At 39.4% G+C, this 21,141-nt stretch overlaps 1 protein-coding gene and 2 pseudogenes across 73 annotated transcripts in view; all 3 read right to left on the bottom strand.

Annotated features, from left to right (window-relative positions):
• Nucleotides 1-21,141, bottom strand: part of PLEKHA5 (pleckstrin homology domain containing A5) — a 246,668-nt gene that overhangs the window by 57,213 nt on the left and 168,314 nt on the right. For 31 of the 73 annotated variants that reach the window (NR_169820.1, NR_169818.1, NM_001256470.2 and 28 more), the window contains one exon: nucleotides 4,294-4,374. The exons of 39 other annotated variants lie outside the window; for them this stretch is intronic. Coding sequence is in view for 30 of the 34 variants with exons in the window: in NM_001256470.2 (NP_001243399.1) it covers nucleotides 4,294-4,374 (81 nt within the window). In the remaining 4 variants the exon portion in view is untranslated. Of the gene's footprint in view, nucleotides 1-4,060; nucleotides 4,424-21,141 lie in introns of those variants that run through there. 3 more of the 73 variants (NR_169816.1, NR_169819.1, XM_017019500.2) reach the window with 2 other exon arrangements.
• Nucleotides 10,952-12,517, bottom strand: SRSF11P1 (serine and arginine rich splicing factor 11 pseudogene 1; annotated as a pseudogene).
• RN7SL67P (RNA, 7SL, cytoplasmic 67, pseudogene) lies at nucleotides 15,413-15,708 on the bottom strand (annotated as a pseudogene).

Below are 21,141 nucleotides of genomic sequence, written 5' to 3'. Positions count from 1 at the left end.
TCTTATACTATTCAAAATAAGTATCCTCAGGTGTGTCCTGAGAAGTGTCAACTGTCATTGTAAATTAAAGCACCTAGATCCAAGAAAATAATTTATATTCCTATCTGGAAAAAAAGTAATATGAAGTAAGTTTTAAATAGGTAGATCTATGATAAAAAAAGTAAGACAATGCCAAAATTCCATTTTCATATTTATAACAAATTAAAGATGAAAAGTCATAAGCTACTAAGATGTTCAAATATAGTTTGCTTAATATTTATTTATTTTTTGAGATGGAGTCTCGTTATTGCCCAGCCTGGAGTGCAGTGGTGCGATCTCGGCTCATTGCAACCTCTGCCTCCAGGGTTCAAGTGATTCTTTTGCCTCAGCCTCCAGAGTAGCTGGGATTATACGTGCACCATCATGCCTGGCTGATTTTTGTATTTTTAATAGAGACGGGGTTTCACCATGTTGGCCAGGCTGGTCTGGAACTCCTGACCTCAAGTGATCCTCCCATCTTGGCCTCCCAAAGTGCTGGGATTATAGGCGTGAGCCACCACGCCCAGCCGTAGTTTGCTTAATATTTAAAGTTAAATGCAAAACAGCTTTACTAGATTACAGAATCTGAATATAACTAGCAGACAGTGTTTCATCTAGATTAAAATATCAAATGTACCCTATATCTCAGAGTCAACAGAAAAAAACATTAGTATATTAAAGTGAAAACTTACTAATTTATAGTAAATCTTTAGGATATTGATATACTATTTTTATTTGGGGAATCTTATTGCAGATTTATTTTTACATCAGTTAGCATATCATAATAGAGAAAAATGTCTACTGTAGTTACAACTTTAGAGCGATATATCCTTTATAGCCATATAAATATATTATACATATCAATCAGATTTTTGTGGTATTTCTACTTTTAGTACCACCGAAATTTTTCTTGAAATCTTTTATCAAGTTATTCAATAAAGATATTCATTAGACATCAACTAACCAAATCCTTAAACCTCTCCCCACACATTGCTTTTATGACAGAATAAAAGCATAAGAAAACAAAATTTTTCCTTAAACAAACAAAAAACGCCTTCATAGAATTGAAAAGGTTGCTATTTTGTCCTCAACATGAAAATCCTGACTCCTCATCCCAACCCCTGGCCCTACCGAAAAAAAAGAAAAGTAAATTTCATGAGCATTCTGGTTAATTTAAGTTCATGGTAACACTGTTTATCATTTTTTTCAAATACACCTTTAGCCAAAAAAAAAAAAAAAAAAAAAAAAGGTTTGGTTTGAATACTTCATTCGAAGTACCTTAGCAACACTAGAAAAGCAAATGAAAAAATGGGCTATGTAGTAATTACATAAACTTGTGCAGTGCTCCAACTTCAGGTTGAGGAGTGTGTTATATGGATTTTATTAACTACATAAGGACATGTGTTATATTTTATTTAGGATGTCGGAACCATTTAAAGTATCTGATACTTTTTTTTTTTATAAACTGTCTTGGCATTAAAACAAAGTTACATATGTTAATTAAAATTCAACTTCAATATCCCTTAGGTATGTGGACTATATATATTTTAGAGTATATGAACATGATACATAAACTCCAAAAAGGAGTTTTGGGGAAATATTTTAAAATTTGATAAAATTAGACATTATATCCACAGATGGCAAAAAAAATGCTCATAGGACTATAGGCATTTGTTGATATTGCATCTTTTAGGACAAATTACTTATCAGGTGATTAATTTCACTGGTATTAATCATGTTATAAAAACTATGGTCCTAAAATGTAACTGTGAAAGGTGGTGTAGAATACAGAATGCTTAAAAAAAAAAAAAAAGAGATAGTATCTCATTCTGTCACCCACCAGGCTAGAGCACAGTGGTGTAATCGTAATCACAGTTCATTGCAGCTTCGGACTCCTGTCTCAGCCTCCTGAGTAGCTAGGACTATAGGTGTGTGCCACCATGCCTGGCTAATTTTTTTATATTTTGCAGAGACAGGGTCTTGCTTTGTTGCCCAGGCTAGTCTCAAACTCCTGGCCTCAAGCGATCCTTCAGCTTTGGCCTCATAAATTGTTGGGATTACAGGCATAAGCCACCTCGACAAGCCTGGATTCAGTTTTAAGTCTTTTTTAATTGACCAATTTTAAGAAAATTACTGCCTAGGTAATTTCTTGAGTGTTCTCCAAGGAAGAAAAATGCAAACATTTCCAAAAACTGAGTGGCTATGATTCAGAATAAAATAGGTTATAAAACATTTTGCCATTGTATTTCTAGCTAAATATCAATAACTTATTAATAAAACACTGTCATTCAACTTCAGAAAAGCAAACTGTAGCAGTACATTTTCCCTGGATAATAACATGATGAGGGAAACCTGGAGAAAAATAAAATATAATTTCAGTTTGTGCAAATTTATAAACACAGTTTAAAAAATGTGTCGGGCTGTCACTTTAATCTATTAAGGATGCCCTGCTTAATAATTAAGTCCTTTACTAGTGGCTGAATAAAAATAAGACAGTCTGAAGACTCCCTAGCCTTAACAGCACTGAGAGTTAACACTGATTTCCTGGTAACTGGTGACTCAGCCATGCCCAGGCAAGGCTGCTGACATTAGACATTCAGATCTTTCTGTTCTATACAATTTTAGTTTTCTTTCACATATTAATATAAAGAAATATTTATACAAATCTATTGCTCTTTCGGTATTCAAGGTCAGTGATGCTATAATGTGCCAGTCTCAGACATCTTCACTTTCCCCCCCCTCAGCCCTTCCCATTTCAGATCTCCACACTTTGGGAAAACCCCAATTAGAACTTTTAATGCAACCAAATAATTTAAACTATCAGACTTCCGCATCCTGAACCATGAATGTTGAGCATTATAAAAAAAAACCCAACCAAACCAAACAGATTTGAAATCCAGGCTACCATTCTCATCTAAAATATGCAAAATGTGATAAAAACATAACCTATTACAACAAAATCCCTTTGATCTCATGTCAATTTAGCATCTTATAGATGATATATTTTACTGACAGCTTCAGACACTGCAGAAGGTATCAGTTTTGGAATAATACTTATTCGGAATAATACTTATTCCAAATACTCTCGGTGTGGTACTTTGGAATAGAGTACCAAGGTCTATAATCTGGTGACTTTAAGAATTGAAAGATTCCATTTTCTTTTGATAAGTAAAGCTGTTTAACTTTAAATATTTAATAGTTTGTTAATCTCTTTATTGCAAATTTGAGACTATTTTCAGTCATCTAATAATATACTTTAAATATTTTGAAAACTGTGCTGAAATATAAGTCACCCTCTGATCAATTGTATCCATTCCTCAGTTACATGGCCCTGTGATGCAGATCCCATGGCAACTGAACCAAATAGAGGCCTTAAAAGCCAGCATGAGCTCAAAGTCGTTCTTTTTACTAGGTGCCTTATATATTTAAATCAAAATATATATTCATTTTTCATGTTAGTTAATTTTCTTCTTCTGCATGATTTTTAAAGATTGTAAAGGTCATACGCCAGAGTAATTTGAGGGTGTTGAAGTGAAAGAAGCTGATGTTGAGAAACACATAGCTAGAAACATTTAGACCATGAGATACACAAAAATTTGATAGAAACATATGACTTCTTTTGCAGATCTGCAGATTACTAAGGTTCCTAAGTTAAAGCCAGCCAACTCCATGACACACATTTTGAATAAGGAAAAACAATAGGGTAACTTATGATAGTCTTGACGACTGCTTGAGAATGGTAAGAATACAGCGACAAAATACCCCCAGTATGTTAAAAAGTGGCTATCTTTAAGTTTTACCATACCATAGTACAGAAACTAGATTTAAATAACGCCCATACAAATATAATGTATTCTTAAAACACTAGGTTGGGGGAAGTTGTGGAGGGCAACCCCTGAAAGTAAATATTTTTACAAAGCCTTTTCCCTAAAAAATAGGTATAATGCTTTTAAAGTTAATAAAACCATATGAAAATCTAGTAATTTTGCAAATGTACTGCAGACCTCCAAGTACATATCAATCAAATACTCTGCACAAAAACTTTAGGAAAATGGCACATTTAATATTCAACAGCAAAATGTTCAGCGAAGCCATGCTAAGAATACTGCAGCATCTTGAAAAGCATGGATGAATTGTGGTTTTCCAAATAAACATAAACAAAAAATAAAATAAGAAAAACACTGATGTCATGAGTAAATCTGAGAATAAATCAAAACTGTCACTGAGGGATTTTGCAGATGATAAAGCAGTATCATTCACTGTCCAAGACCTTACTTGCTGGTACAGTTGGGGTCTTAGCGCCGAGTTCTCAATCATTGTGTGAACCATGGTGATAATAGGTTCATTTTCTTTCATCTATTTCAAATCAGGAGGAGCATACAGCAAACATCAGTTTACAGCATAGCTAGATTTGAAAGACGACACTGTAAATATAGCCTCTACTTTAATATCTTCCTAATAGTGCAGTTGTTTACATTTTACCCCATGGTTGTACAGATTTAATTCATATAAACCATTTCAAACAAGTATTAAACGCTGTGAAATACTTCCAAGAAAAAACTACTAATTGCAACACTGTCACAACTAGTTTTACTTCATACATATAATCATGATATAGTCAATTAATGAATATTTCTACATATAATAAAATAGATGATAAATCATAATTCAAAGGGTAAACTAAAGGGTGAGAACCTACACAATCAGGAGAAAAATGGTACAATTTGATTATGAATTCAGTAATAAAGCTGAAAATGATATTCAGTTCTGTGTAAGGTTATAAAAAATTAGTTCTCTACAAGTATTAAAATATAATATACTGAATGTGTCACTTAATCACATATTTTATTAAAGGTAATCTTGACATTTATAGAGACTCTATTTTGGATTTTCTCACAGTATAATACCACATGTAGAATTACTCAAGGATATGCAAACTAAGACTTATTCAGCAAAGACTTGGTATGTCTCCTTAGCTTCTAAAAAGGTAGTCTGAAACCAAGCTTAACATTTCCAGCTATGTTGTACTTAATTACTGCCTCTAGAAAAATATTTGTTTTAGCAGGCTCTGTACTTGAGTTAAAGCACTCAAAAGACCATCATGATGTATATAGTAAAAGGCCAAGAAAGCTTTACCATTTGTAAGTCGACAGGTCTGTTTATAATGGTAATTTGTAACGCTTAATTTTCATCTTTCATATACAGAAAATAAGCATTTCTATCGTGGTTGACAAATGCTACTTTACTGGTTCAGCTAAGTCTACAACAAAAGTTCATTAATCTCAAAATTAATAAATTTATTAATATAATGTAAGAAAAAACTAAATCTTAAAACTCTTTTTCTAGACAATTATATTTTCAGTCTAATTGCCAATAAAATTTGTTTAGTTATCAAATTAGAAACCTCCTGTGACTGGTTTAATCTACTTTTTAGTCAGTTAAGTGATAATGAAACACATGTTTGTCTTTTAACAATATCCCAATTAAAAATTTCATTCAGACTAGACCATTTATTTTTAAATCTCTGTGCCTACAACTGCTTTTTGGAAGTGAGGATATTAAAAAAAAAACTTCACTGAAGAATAAATTGACAAATTTTAGTTATACATCAACGACTTTTGACAAAAGTATTCACATATGTAACAATCAAAACATACAGAATGTTTCCATCTACCCAGGTAGTTCCCTCATGTTACTTTACCACCAACCTGATTAATTAATAAATTAATTTTGTCAAACTTAATAATTACATGTAAAGGTATTTGGAACAACACATCAGTTAAACAAAAAATTCTTAAGTGTTACGGTGATCTGTTGCCCAGATTGGAATGCAGTGGCCCTATCATGGCTCACTGCAGCCTCAAACTCCTAGGCTTAGGCGATCCTCCCACATCAGCCTCTCGCATAGCTAGGACTACAGGCACATGCCACCATGCCCAGCTAATTTTTTATTTTTTGTAGAGACAGGGGCCTCATTATGTTGCCCAGGCTGGTCTTGAACTCCTGGGCTCAAGCAATCCTCCTGGCTCATCCTTTATAATTGTTTTGGGGGAGCCAGGAACCTCGCTCATAAGAGATGATGAAATCGATAAAGGTTGTGTGTTCTGTTTCACTGACCAGCCGTTATCCCATCTCTCTTCCTTTCCTTGGGCCTGCCTATTCCTCGAGACACAACAATATTGAAATCAGGCCAATTAATAACCCTACAATGGCTTCTAACAGTGCAAGTGAAAGGAAGACTTGCATGCTTATCACTTTAAATCAAAAGCTAGAAATGATTAAGGTTAGTGAGGAAGGCATGTGGAAAAGCTGAGACAGGCCGAAAACTAGACCTCTTGTGGTAAACATTTACCCAAGTTGAGAAGGCAAAGAAACAAGTTGTTGAAAGAAATTATAAGTGCTACTCCAGTCAACATACAAATGATAAGAAAGCAAAACAGCCTTGCTGCTAATAGGGAGAAAGTTTTAGTGGTCTGAAGAGAAGATCAAACAGTCACAACATTCCCTTAAGCCAAAGCCTATTCCAGAGCAAGGCCCTAACTCTCTTCAATCCTATGAAGGTTGAGAGAGATGAGGAAGCTGCAGAAGGAAACTTGGAAGCTGGCAGTTTGGTTCATGAGGTTTATGGAAAGAAGCCATCTCCATAACATGTAAGTGCAAGGTGAAGCAGCAGGTGCTGATGGAGAAGCTGCAGCAAGTTATTCAGAAGATCTAGCTAAGATAACTGAAGAAGGTGGCTGAATTCAATGATAGATTTTCAATGTAGACGAAATAGCCTTGTATGGGAATCAGATGCCACCTAGGACTTTCATAGCTAGAGAGGGAAAGTCAATGCCTGGCTCCAAAGCTTCAAATAGGATGACACTCTTGTTTGGGGATAATGCAGCTGGTAATTCAAGCTGAAGCTGATGCTCATTTACTATTGTGAAAATCCTGATGTTAAATCTACTTTGCTTATGCTCCAAAAAAGGAACAAAGCCTGGATGATAGCACATCTGTTTACAGCATGGTTTACTGAATATCTTAAATCCACTGTTGAGAACTAATGCTCAGAAAGAAAGATTCCTTTCAAAATATGAGTGCCCACTGACAATGAACCTAGTTACCCAAGAGCTCTGATGGAAACATGTAAGTGGATGAATGTGGTTTTCACGACTGTTAACATAACATCCATTCTGCAGCCCATGGATCAAGGAGTCATTTCAACTTTCAATTACTATTATTTAGGAAATGCATTTCATAAGGCTCTAGCTGCTACAGATAGTGATTCTTCTGATGGATATGGGTGAATTAAAGAAGAAACTTCTGGAAAGAATTCACCATTCTGGATACTAGATATTTGTGATTTAAGAGAGGAGGTCAAAATAGCAACATTAACAGAAGTTTGAAAACACTGGTTCCAACTCTCATGAATGAGGTTGAGGGGTTTAGAACTTCAGTGGAGGAAGGAACTGCAGATGTGGTGGAAATAAAAAGAATCAGAAGTGAAGCCTGAAGATGTGAGCGAATTGCTTCAATCTCATACTAAAACTTGAGTGGATGAGGAACTGCATCTTATGGATGAGCAAAGAAAGTAGTTTCTTGAGATAAAATCTACTCCTGGTGAAGGTACTGTGAACATTGTTGACAACAAAGCATTTAGAATATATAAACTTGGTTGATAAAGCAGCAGCAGAGTTTGAGAGGATTCAGTTCAATTTTACTTTTTTTTTTTTTTTTAATTTTTCGAGACAGAGTTTTGCTCTGTTGCCCAGACTGGAGTGCAGTGGAGTAATCACAGCTCACTGCAGCCTTGACCTCCTCTCCTGGGCTCAAGCGATCCTGCCGCTTCAGCCTCCCAAGTAGCTGGGACTATAGGCAAGTACATTTTTAATCCTGGCTGATTAAAAATTTTTTTTTTTTTTTTTGCAGAGACAGGGTCTTGGTATGTTGCCAAGGCTGGTCTCAAACTCCTGGCCTCATGCAAGCCTCCCACCTTATCCTTCCAAAGTGACAGGCATGAGACACCATGCCCGACCCCACTCCAATTCTGAAAGAGGTTCTACGACGGGCAATATGTTCTCAAACACCACTGCATGCTACAGAGAAATGTTTTCGTGAAAAGAAGAGTCAATTGATGTAACAAACTTCACTGTTGTCTTATTTTAAGGAACTGCCACAGCTATCCCAACCTTCAGCAACCACCACCCTGATCAGTTAGCAAGCATCAACATCAAGGCAAGACCTTCCACTAGCAAAAAGATTAGGACTTGCTGAAGGCTCAGATGATCATTAGTGTTTTTTAGCAATACAGGATTTTTTTTCTTAGACATAATGCTATTGCACATTTAACAGAATACAGTATAATCATTACTTTTACAGGCACTGGGAAACCAAAAAAACAAAAAAACAAAAAACCACGCCCAGCTAATTTTTGTGGAGATGGGGTTTTGCCATGTTTCCCAGGCTGGTCTTGAAGTTCTGAGCTCAAAGCAATCCGCCCGCCTTGGCTTCCCAAAGTGCTGGGATTATAGGCGAGAGCTACTGTGCCTAGCCTGCATTCTTTTTTTTTTTTTTTTTTGAGAGGGAGTCTCGCTCTGTCACACAGGCTGGAGTGCAATGGCACCATTTTGGCTCACTTCAACCTCTGCCTCCCGAGTTCAAGCAATTTTCCTGCCTCAGCCTTCTGAGTAGCTGGGATTACAGGTGCCCACCACCACACTCAGCTAATTTTTGTATTTTTAATAGAGACGGGGTTTCACCATGTTGGTCAGGCTGGTCTCTAACTCCTGACCTAAGATGATTCACCTGCCTCGGCCTCCCAAAGTGCTGGGATTACAGGCATGAGCCTGGCCTTCAAGTTCTTAAAATAAATACATAAATAAATAAAGAATACATATAATTCACTTCTGGTTTGAATATAAGAATCCAAGAAACCATTTTAAGAGTGGTGTTAACAGTCTACATATTGTGTAAGGAATCAGAGGAAAGACTAAATAGTACACGTAGGATGTTTAAGGATTCACTTGAAATGAGTTAAATGCTTTGCTTCTTACTTTAATTCCTTCTTTGAAGTAACAGGTAATACAGATTTACATTTAATTGCTAAATTATAAAGCTATTATAAAAGGCAGATTATTTCATAATAATAGGAATGAAAATGTATGATTCAGGCATTACACAATTTTCTTTTCTTTTTAAGTTAAAGGGTTTTATTATCAAAGTCTTGTAAAATAATTTCGAAATTGTACATCAACATGGCACAGACTGTAGCCTACTTTTGTTTTTACTGCACATAGTGGAGCTTGAAATGTCTGTAACAAAGAAAGCAGTTGCCTAACTACTTTGCATATATAACATGAAATCACTGTGTGCCTAAGAATACTACTGCAGTAACACAAATGTATCGGTTTTATACAACTTGAGATTTTATTATTTTTTTTTTTGAGACAGAGTCTCACTCTGTCGCCCAGGCTGGAGTGCAGTGGCACGATCTAGGCTCACTGCAACCTCCACCTCCCGGGTTCAAGTGTTCTCCTGCCTCAGACTCCCGAGTAGCTGGGATTACAGGCGCCTACCAGTAATTTTTCTATTTTTAGTAAAGACGGGGTTTCACCATGTTGGCCAGGCTGATCTCGATCACCTGACCTCAGGGGATCCGCCCGCCTCGGCCTCCCAAAGTGTTGGGATTACAGGTGTGAGCCACTACACCCAGATTTGTCTTATTTTAAAAGCATATGAAGGTCAATTTCCAACAGAGTTTAAAACAAATAAATTAATGAAAGAGTGGAAAATTCAAAATAAGGGCAAGAGATGAGTTTTTTTTTTCTTTAAGATGGACTCAGGATAGGTAGACAGCTTTCACTGATGTAGATGTGGAATAAATTATTTCAGGAAAAAAAATTCCCAAACATCTTATGAAAAACTATACAACTCTACTTCAAAATATACTATTTGTTCACTGCCAAAGACAGTTTTACTTGAAACCTTGTTTCTGTAATTAAACCCTAATTAGCCATCAAAAAAGGTTAGTGCATAATAACCGTCCAAAGTTAAACCAAAATCACAAAAATTTTGCTACAAGGCTTAAAAAATTATCTATTTCTTTTCTCTTTTTTTCTTTTTTTTTGAGATGGAGTCTTGCTCTGTCGCCTAGGCTAGAGTGCAGTAGCGCAATCTCGGCTCACTGCAAACTCTGCCTCCTGGGTTCAAGTGATTCTCCTGCCTCAGAATCTGGAGTAGCTGGGATTACAGGCATGCACCACCATGCCTGGCTAATTTTGTGTGTGTGTGCGTTTGTGTTTTAGTAGAGACAAGGTTTCGCCATGTTAGCCAGGCTGGTCTGGAACTCCTTACCTCAGGTGATCTGCCCCCCTTCGGCCTCCCAAAGTGCTAAAATTACAGGGGTGAGCCACTGTGCCCAGCCGGATTATCATTTCAAATGCTCATTTCCAGATGGAACTATGTTAATTTGGCATGTCAACAAACAAGACCATAAGGAGATCCATCATGTTGGAGGATTTTAATGACATTTAGGATATTCTTGCCACAATAACATGCAGTCAGTGCATTTCCTACATGGCTCTATTATGGCAATGAATAAAACTCTGTAAGTAATGTAAGTGAACTTAGTAAAGGAAATTATATGACATAAACAATCCATTCTGGCTGTAGATGTATATAGCTTTTCATTTTTGTTATGAAGCAGCGCCAATAGTAAAACGGGTTACACCATCAGATTTCACCATGACAAGAATTGCTTACATCATACCATTTTCTAAAAGCTTTTTGATGTAAATAGGTAATATCAATAACAAGAGCTTTATAACCATTAATAACTCAGAGCTATATACATCTAGGGTTGAGATGAACAAATACAACATTCAGAAATCACACAAAGCAATGACACTGATGCATGTATACAGCTGGATTCCCATAGAGGCAATATTCAGTCACTCATATCCATGTCTTCTTCATGATGATCATTCCCATTCACTATGGGTTCTCCTAGTGAATCACCAGTTCCCTTTTCCACAGAACGTTTCTTTGTTTTAGGGGAATCTGCTTCTATTGCTTTCTTCTCTTTTTTTCCTCTCTCTCACTGTCATACCCTTGTTCCTCTTCATCATAAACCCGTGTAACTTTTACATCTGTATCACTCTCTGATTTTCTTTCCTGGTCCTTTTCCCTATCTTTACTCTTCTTCTTGCTTGTTGATCGTTCTCTTTCATACCTATTTCTCTCTTTATCTTTCTTCTTCTTTTTATGTTTCCCAGGGGATGGTGAGAGAGACAATTTTCTTTTAGGACACCGAGACTTTTTAGGAGATCTTGTTCCACTCCTGCTTCTTCGTTGTTGTCTCTCTGTTTGTACTTCTATAATGTCTAGCCGTGCTGTAACTTTCTGGGGGTGTTTTTGAATGTTTCTTTTGTCTTCTTTCTTTCTGTCTCTCGTTTTTGATGTGCTCCTTGACCTTCTGCCTCTCTCTCTGGAATGAGATCTTCTCTGTCTTGGGCTTTTGAATCATCAACGACTCCTAGACTGACAATGTAATCACTCTCTTGATCTGCTCCTTGACTGTGTCTAGAAGATGAGAGTCCTCCTCCTCCTAGAATGTGATCTTGAATGCCTTCTTTTTTCTTTCTCTGGTTCTATAGCAGCCGAAATTAGGCAGTGTGCTTCTTGTACTCTTTTCATAGCTTCCTCTATTTTTTTTTGAGCCAAGAGTTTTGTGCTCGTTGCCCAGGCTGGAGTGCAATGGCACAATCTCGGCTCACTGCAACCTCCGCCTCCAGGATTCAGGCGATTCTCCTGCCTCAGCCTCCTAAGTATTTGGGATTACAGGCATGCGCCACCATGCCCGGCTAATTTTGAATTTTTAGTAGAGACAAGGTTTCACCATGTTGGTCAGGTTGGTCTCGAACTCCTGACCTCAAGTGATCCACCCTCCTCAGCCTCCCAAAGCTCTGGGATTACTGGCCTGAGCCACCATGTGGGGCCCCTTTCTCTATTTCTTTACTAGAGGTATCCGATTTCAGACTTGGTGAAACAAGACCAGCAGCTACATGCTTCAACTTGGGACCAACAGTGCTCATAAGCTTCAGCAACTATCTGTGGCAACAGATTGAGTTCAAGTTTGCTCCAGGAAGCCCAAGCGCAGCAAGGGCAGGAACAAGAGTAGGAGCCCCCAAAGCAGCCGGTGGAACAGCGCCAGTCTGAGTAAGTGGGTTAGGAGTAGGCAGGAGCCCAACACCAAGCAGAAGACCTGCCATTGCATTAGCTGGTGCCAACAGAGACAAGCCTTAGCCTTATCAGGAATAACTCCTTCTGCATATGGTACGTTATCAAAGCTCTGTCAAGGAATACAGTGTTTGTCAGACATGGTGCGACAACTGCTGAGTCTGGATCATGGAATTTAACGAGATTGCGATTGGCAAAGGTGAATTATCCGGCGGGAAGAGGTGTGGTTCGTCGATCTTGCCTAGGAAACCGAAGAGAGTCCGCATCTGCTCAGAGCTAGCGCCCGGGGAGATCAGTCACCTATTACCTCGATGCCGCCGCCTCCACCGCCGCCACCACCTCCGCTACTGGGCCCGCCGCTAGGGCCCGGATCCGCAGTGCTGGGGACGATGGTAGTGTTGCTCACGGCGCTGCTCGCGGCGTTCTCCCTCCTGCTTCAACACATCAAACACACAGCAAGGAGGGGGAAGAGGAACCGGTTCGTGGGAGGTGGGTATCCGATGCTACAGCCTCTGCTGCTCCAGTCGCCGTCGCCACCTTTTCTCTACCCCACTGCACGCCGCGGGGGAGGGGAAGAGAGCACGCTAGTTGGAGAGCACGAGAAAACAAACGGCCACCCCCACCTCGCCTCCAACCCCACAATTTTCATAATTAACTCTAGCTGTAAATAAGAAAACATACGTGGCAACATCTCGGAAATACACTTAGGTAATAATGCCGGTGAATTTCTGTTCACAACAAAACACATTTTTACTTGAAATTTCTAAGTCCAAATGTTTAGAAAAACTATCTAGAAAATCTGATACTTAATCCTGGCCTCTTCAGCAGTTTTGAGGTCTGTTTGGCAAATACGAATAACTTGTTTTTTTTTTAGACGGAGTATCGGATTGTCGCCTGGGCTGGAGTACAATGGGGCGATCTCAGCTCACTGCAACCTCTGCCTCCTGGGTTCAAGCGATTCTCCTGCTTCAGCCTCCCGAGTAGCTGGGATTACAGGCGTGCGCCACCAAGTCCAGCCAATTTTTTGTATTTTTAGTAGAGCCACCGCGCCCAGTCTTCATAGTTGTTTTTTTTTTTTTTTTTTTTTTTGAGATGGAGTTTTGCTGTTGTTGCCCCAGGCTGGAGGGCAATGGCGCAATCTTGGCTCACTGCAACCTCCGACTCCCAGGTTGAAGCGATTCTCCTGTCTCAGACTCCCGAGCAGCTGGGATTACAGGCATGTGCCACAATGCCCAGTTAATTTTTTGTATTTTTAGTAGAGACGGGGTTTCTCCACGGTAGTCAGGCTGGTCTCAAACTCCTGATCTCAGGTGATTCGTCCGCCTTGGCCTCCCAAAGTGCTGGAATTACAGGCCTCAAGCCATCCGTGCTGGGTCTTTTTTTTTTTTTTTTGAGACACAGTCTCGCTGTCACCCAGGCTGGAGTGCAGCAGTGCCATCTTGGCTCACTGCAACCTCTGCCTCCCAGGTTCAAGTGATTCTCCTGCCTCAGCCTCCTGAGTAGCTGGGATTACAGGCGCTCATCACCCTGTCAGGCTAATTTTTGTATTTTTAGTAGAGACGGAGTTTTACCATGTTGGTCAGGCTGGTCTTGAACTCCCGACCTTGTGATCTGCCCTCCTCGGCCTCCCAAAGTGCTGGAATTACAGGCGTGAGCCACTGCACCCCACCTATTGAATAACTTGATTTTAAAACCCCATCATCAAAAACCACTGAATTATATGTAATTACATCTACTAGGATCTTGTGTAGAATTTCCCAACTGACACCCATGGGCTGGAAATGGGTTACAAGGTGTGGGGACAAGGACCACCTCAGCTTCAGAAGGCCTAGTCTGGTCCCTGCAGGGCTAAGGCTCATGACATCACCTCCTGCTTATTTGTTTCAAGGTGCTGTACAAATATCCTCGCTTTCTATGTGTCCACACATGAAAAAAGGTAGCACCAAGACAGTGCTTGTTTCAGAAAACCTAGACTTCTTTCTTTTTTTCATTTCTAACTAAAAAATTTTAAAAAAAGAAAGAGAGAAGGGGTTTCGCCATGTTGGCCAGGCTAGTCTCGAACTCCTGGGCTCAAGAGATCCACCCGTGTTGGCCTCCCAAAGTGGTAGGATTACAGGCATGAGGCATCACATCCAGCTGACTTTTCTTCTTTCTTTGGTGTAGTTCTCATATCTGGCAAAAGAAAAAAAAAAAAGCCCCCCGGCCCCCATAAAACTACCTGTGGAGATTTAAAACCTTTACAGGTCTGGGCCCTGGCAATTCTTATTGGGGACTGGGGGAAAGACAGCCTTGAGTATTGTACTTTGTTTTTGTCTTTCTGAAGATTTACTGTCAGTTCTGAGAAGTCAGGCTTGTGAACCATGGTCCTATCCTGGCATCAATTCAAGTAAACATGACTGCCAAAGAATTTTTCAAGGTCCAGATGAGTTGATATCAGATACTGATCAAGGTAATTGCACAACTATCAAAGATAAAAAACTTCAAACTAAGTAAACACAAATATTGGATCTAGATTAAAATATTTTCTTGTTGTCTAAGATATAGCATTAAGAGATTTTAACTGCCTTTTAAAAGCTGATGTGCAATGGCGCAATCTCAGCTCACTGCAACCTCCACCTCCCTGGTTCAATCGATTCTCTTGCCTCAGCCTCGTGAGTAGCTGGGATTACAGGTGCCCACTACTACGCCCGGCTAATTTTTGAGTTTTTAGTAGAGACCGGGTTTCACCATGTTGGCCAGGCTGGTCTTGAACGCCTGACCTCAGGATTCCCAAAGTGTTGGGATTACAGGCGTGAGCCACCGTGCCTGGCCAGTTACTCTTTTTCTTAAGAGATGGGGTCTCGGCCATGCGCGGTGGCTCACGCCTATAGTACCAGCACTTTGGGAGGCCAAGGCAGGTGGATCACTTGAGGCCAGGAGTTCAAGACCAGCATGGGCAACATGGTGAAACCCCCCCCTCTACAAAAAATTAGCTGGGCATGGTGGTGCAGGCCTGTGGTCCCAGTTACTTGAGAGGCTGAGGCAGAAGGATCACTTCAGCCTAGGGGGTTGAGGCTGCAGTGAGCCATGATTGCCACTGCACTCCTGGGTGACAAAGCCAGATCATGTCTCAAGAAAAAAAAAAAAAAAAAAAAAGCTCAAAGAAAGGATATCTTAAAAAAACAAAAACAAAAACAACGGGGTCTCACTATGTTGCCCAGGCTTGAGTGCAGTGCTTATTCACAGATGTGATCCCACTACTGATCAGCACAGAAGTCTTGACCTGCTGCATTTCCTACTGGGCTGGCTCACCCCTCCTTAGGCAGCCCAGTGGTCCTCCGTTCCCAGGAGGTTGCCATATTGATGCTGAACTTAGTGTGGACACCTGATCGGCATAGTGCACAAAAGCCCACAACTCCTGGACTCAAGTGATCTTTCTGCCTCAGTCTACCTGGTAGCTGGGACTATATAGCCTTGCGCCACTGTGCCAGCTACTTTAGTAGCTTTTAAATGTCTGTTTCAAATCTATCTCTGGAGAAATTGGACCAGCTCTGAACTCAGAAAAAATAGGATATTCTAACTCATGAGGTAAAATGCTCCTGAATCATTTGGGGAGGGGGAAAAGAGATGAGTAGTGAGCAGAGCCAAGATGGTCATTCATATAATTCATCCTTAGAAAAAATTAATTCTCCATACTCCCTTTAAAAATAACAAGTGATTAAGCAGTGGCTTAATTGCTCTCTTAAAAGTTTATATAATAATCTAGAGGCTGGATGCGGTGACTCACTCTGGGAGGCTGAGGTGGGTGGATCACCTGAGTTCAGGAGTTCGAGACCAGCCTGGCCAACATGGTGAAACCCCGTCTCTACTAAAAATGCAAAAATTAGCTGGGTGCGGTGGTGTGCGCCTGTAGTCTCACTCACTCAGGAGGCTGAGACAGGAGAATCAGTTGAACCCGGGAAATGGAGGTTGCAGTGAGCCGAGATGGCGCTGCTGCACTCCAGTCCGGGCAACAGAGCAGGACTCCATCTCAAAAAAAAAAAAAAAAAAAAAAAAAAAAAAAAATTTCATACAGAACAGTGCTGTCCAACAGAACTTTCTGTGATGATGGAAATGTTCCACATCTGTGTAGTTCAATATTGACTACTTGAAATGGGGCTAGCATGACTGAGGACATGTTTTTACTTATATATATATGTAACTACAAATTTAAATAGCCACATGTTGCTAGTGGCTATCATATTAGATACCAGGTCTAAAAATTCTACACCAGTAGGCTGGGGGTGGTGGCTCACATCTGTAACGGCAGCACTTTGGGAGGCCAAGGTGGGAGGACCACTTGAGGTCAGGAGTTCAAGACCAGCCTGGCTAACATGGTGAAACCCCATCTCTAATAAAAAATACCAAAATTAGCTGGGTGTGGTGGTGGGCGCCTGTAATCCTAGCTACTCAGGTGGCTGAGTCAGGAGAATCACTTGAACCTGGGAGGTAGAGGTTGCAGTGAGCCAAAATCATGCCACTGCACTCCAGCCTCGGCGACAGAGGACCAGTAAAGCAAGTATGATTTTCCCCATGATCTGCAAGTCATTTGCAGGAGGGGAAACCTTTGCTCAAGCTGTCTTGTAACTTAGTTTACTTGAGTCTGAATTCTGTGCCAATAGTTCCTTTTTCTTGAACAGTGTGGGTGGATACAGAGCAGAGCTTCTGTCCTTCACTGTTAACTAAGAAGAAGACCCATCTCTTGCTGTCATTTTCCATTTAAGAGAAAAAGGGACTTTTTCCTGAGTTCTTAATGACTTCTTCGGAAAAGATTTTTTCAGTTGGGAATCTGTCTTAACAAAAGCAAAAAACTCCATAGCGTAATCACAGAATACTCCATTTTCTCAAGAATGTCCTTCTGTGTCTACATCAATAAGCTCTTAAGATGTGCAGCAAAACTAAAAAGCTAAAGAATTTGATGTGCCCAGGGTGAGGCTTTAGGGAATGCAGGGGTCTTTATAAATAGGTCATTTAGATAATAACAATGTAAATTTGCCTTCCACTCTCTCTAGGCACACCTGAAAGTCCAAGAACCTGAGATTGAAGGGTATGCTACCTATTGAAACCACTCTTCAACAGGAAGCAGGGAAATGTGAAGTGACTTCAGTAACAGAAGAATGTAAATAAGTCTCTTTATAACTGAAGGGGTTATTGAGATTACTTCAGAAGTTTTAAAGTAATTTGAATAAATTATCATACGTTTTTTCCTGTAAGTAAAACCTGCAAACATTACTATTGTTATATAGTCATAAGAATCAACAATATTTTTAAAGATATAGCTAGACTTTATAATATTTCCCCTTTTCTTCAAGGAAGATAGATTATGTCCTTGTGGTATATTTGAAAGCAAACTTTGAAGGCCTGGGCTAGTGCCATTCCAAATAATTTACTTACATTTGGCTAGGGATAAGTTTTACAGATCTGATTTTTTTTTTACTTCAGTAGCTTAATGTATTTTCCTTGTTTAATGGCCTTTTCCTAATCCCTGTTCCTTTAATTTCAAGCAAGGCTACTACTATGTTTATCCCTGGCATCCACAGGAAACAGGAAATATTAAAAGAACTCAAGATGAATTAAAAAAAATCTTTTACTGTGAACATAAGGTTTGAAATTGTCACATTTTCTTCTTTGCAAATATTTTAAGGATACACTAAAATCTACCATTTTTAAGTGAAAAAACATTCCTGAAGTGAAAATCTTACATCTCTGTTAGTCAAAAAGGTACTTGTTCTTGCCATGGATAAATCTATTCTAAAATATACTTGAATTTTATTTTATTTTTGAGACGGAGTTTCGCTCTTGTTGCCCAGGCTGGAATGCAATGGCGCGATCTCGGCTCACCATGACCTCCGCCTCCTGGGTAAAAGAGATTCTCCTGCCTCAGGATCCTGAGTAGCTGGGATTACAGGTATGTGCCACCACACCAGGCTAATTTTGTATTTTTTTTTTTTTTTTTTTTTAGTAGAGATGGGGTTTCTCCATGTTGGTCAGGCTGGTCTTGAACTCCCAACCTCAGGTGATCCGCCCACCTCGGCCTCCCAAAGTGCTAGGATTACAGGTGTGAGCCACCGCACCCGTCCAAATTTTAAATCAAAATTAAAATAACTTCTAGATAGAAGGATCTGGATTTTATCAATGGTTAACTGTGTTCTTACAAAGTTACAAATGGCACTGAGTAGCTGAATTCCTACCATTAATTCAAAGATTTATCAGCTTATGTTTCAACAACATAATGACACCTTTAGGTCAATTTTAGAAATGTTTTTGGCATTTATACTCAACCTCATTTCCTTCCAAGTTTTGAACAAGAATTCTACATTGTGGGCATTAGCATCATGGCTTATCTTTGCATCCTGAGTTCCATAAATCTTTGCAGAATGAATAAACTTGCTGAAAAATGTACATAAAATTAAGACAGAGGCAAAACCTACTGTAAAATTAAGACAGAAGCAAAGCCTGGTATAATGAGCTACTTTTATAATTTTGTAACTGTAAAATAGTATTTATAATATTTTGTAAATAAAAATAGAATTGTATAACTATTATGCATTTTAGAATAGGTAGGGACATTTTGTTTTCACTTTGCTGTCTTGTTAGAGCCATAGCTAGAAGCTGATATTCCTCAGGTAACAAAGACTGCAGCCAAACTCTAAGAACAGAATGATCCATTAACTTTGAAAGAAGTTAAAATAGAATTTTTAAAAGATGAAAGAAAATCCATTAATACAAGGTTTTCACTCTAGCTTATGATTTTGGGCAAGTCATGGAATCTGATTTAATGGGGATAAAGGTTAATTGGTCCATATGCTGCAGAGCCTGTGTATGTGAAACAAGTGGGATGTTGTATAGGATGGTGCTTTGTGAACTGTAAAGTGATACTTACACAGTAAGGTTGAACAGGCACTACACAGGTACACCATGCAGAGAACGGAGTGCTTTGGAAGTATCTGAGAAATGGTGAGTCACTGGCTGGAGAAACGGGTTTATGGGGGAGGAATTATTTCACAAGTTGTGGCGTGGTGGTGGAAGACTGAAGGCTTAAATGACAAAAAGAGACTTTTTTTTGTAAGGCAAAAGGAGTCTGTGACATTTCCTGAGTTGGCTAAAAGACATAATGTGGCAGGAGCTTTAGGAAGATCAAATGAGCAACTGGACCTAATTTCAATTTCAGCAGTCACAGACTTCCCATTTACCGAGGGCTTACAAGCTCCTCTTACTGTGTTCAGAAGTTTATAGATATTACCTCAATTAATCCCTAACAACCCTTAAAGGTTCACATTACTACTCTGTTACAAATGTGAGAGTGGAGGCTTACAGTTAACAAACTTATTATCCAAAGCCAGGGAAATTAAGATGAGGAATATCCAAGACTATTATACAATAAAACGGGATACGTGACGAAATCTAGATGTGAGACCAGGAATATTGCTATGTGCGTGCAAAGATTCAGGAGAAGCATTACAGAGATTTGCTGACTAAATGATTTGCTGACTAAAGATTCAGGAGAAGCATTGCCAAGATTTGCTGACTAAATGGTAATGAGGGATCTCATATACATAAGGTGTTATGGTAGCCTTTGTTCTCCTGAGCAAACACCATGCCAACATGTAATCAGCTAAAAAAAATCTGTTCAGACAGTTCTACAGAATCTCATGATTTTTCCATTTTCAGTGAAACTGTTTTTAAAGTACATTTAATTCCAGTTTAAAGTCATCAGTTTAACTTTAATACATGCTGATGTTGGGCAGACAAGATTTTAGGAGAACATAATAGAACTCCAGGCACTTGTCTGACTTAATTCTGCCATTTTCACAAATTTGGAAAATCTCCATCCTTACAGTGATGGAGAGGCAGGCAGGATGCCAAGGAGGCTTGTCATACCTTAGGTCCTTCCAGTTATTCTGCCACTTGTTTTTCTTCTTCTTCATCAGTCAGCCAGACTGTGAGAGACTGGTGTCAGGCTGTCCCAGCCATAGCCTGTAGAGGAGACTCGGCCTCACTTTCTCTATGTGTTATCCTCTTTTCCGCTGGGGGTTTTAAGGTGCCAGCCTTAAGTTCCTAGTCTAAGCAAATAGTAAAGCAAGAGTGCTGACGGCTCTCAAAGCCCAGTGAGTTCCTTCTGAAGGAAGATGTATTCAATAAATGCTTGTGACATGACCAACGTTAATAGCAACTGATATTCTGAACCATTTTTTTTAAATTATTTTATTTTTTTGCTTTAGCTTTTTGGTGAGGGACTTGAGGGATAAAGATGACAAGCTTTGGGCCAGGCGCGGTGGCTTACACCTGTAATCCCAGCACTTTGGGAGGCTGAGGCGGGTGGATCACCTGAGGGCAGGAGTTCGAGACCAGCCTGGCCAACATGGTGAAACCCTATCTCTACTAAAAATACAAAAATTCACCAGGCGTGGTGGTGGGTGCCTGTAATCACAGCTACTCGGGAGGCTGAGGCAGGGACACCAAGAGACGGAGATCTTCCCCAGTTAGCACTGAGATAGGTTACAAAAAAAAAAAAAAAAAAAAAGCTAAAAAAATAGGACAGATTACTGCTAAGAACAGACCCATGATAATAATGTAAGAGCACTAAATAGGCCAATTTAAGAGACACATATTAAATTCTAATTTACTCCATTATCCATTTAGTCTTACAGTTCTGCCATTATTATTATTTCATATCCTGCTCAAGGATTTTCTCAGTTTTATCTCTGTCCCTCCTACTCCTCTTCTTTTTTTGGAGATGGTGTCTCCCTCTGTTGCCTAGGCTGGAGTGCAGTGGTGCGATCTCGGTTCACTGCAACCTCTGCCTCCCAGGTTCAAGCAATTCTCCTGCCTCAGCCTGCCAAGTAGCGGGTGGTACGCACTACTATGCCCGGCTAATTTTTTGTA

The sequence above is a fragment of the Homo sapiens genome, chromosome 12, assembly GCF_000001405.40.
Source record: "Homo sapiens chromosome 12, GRCh38.p14 Primary Assembly".
NCBI classification, from domain to species: Eukaryota; Metazoa; Chordata; class Mammalia; order Primates; family Hominidae; genus Homo; species Homo sapiens.
Note: the sequence above shows the minus strand (reverse complement) of the source record. Positions and strands in the feature narration are given on the sequence as shown.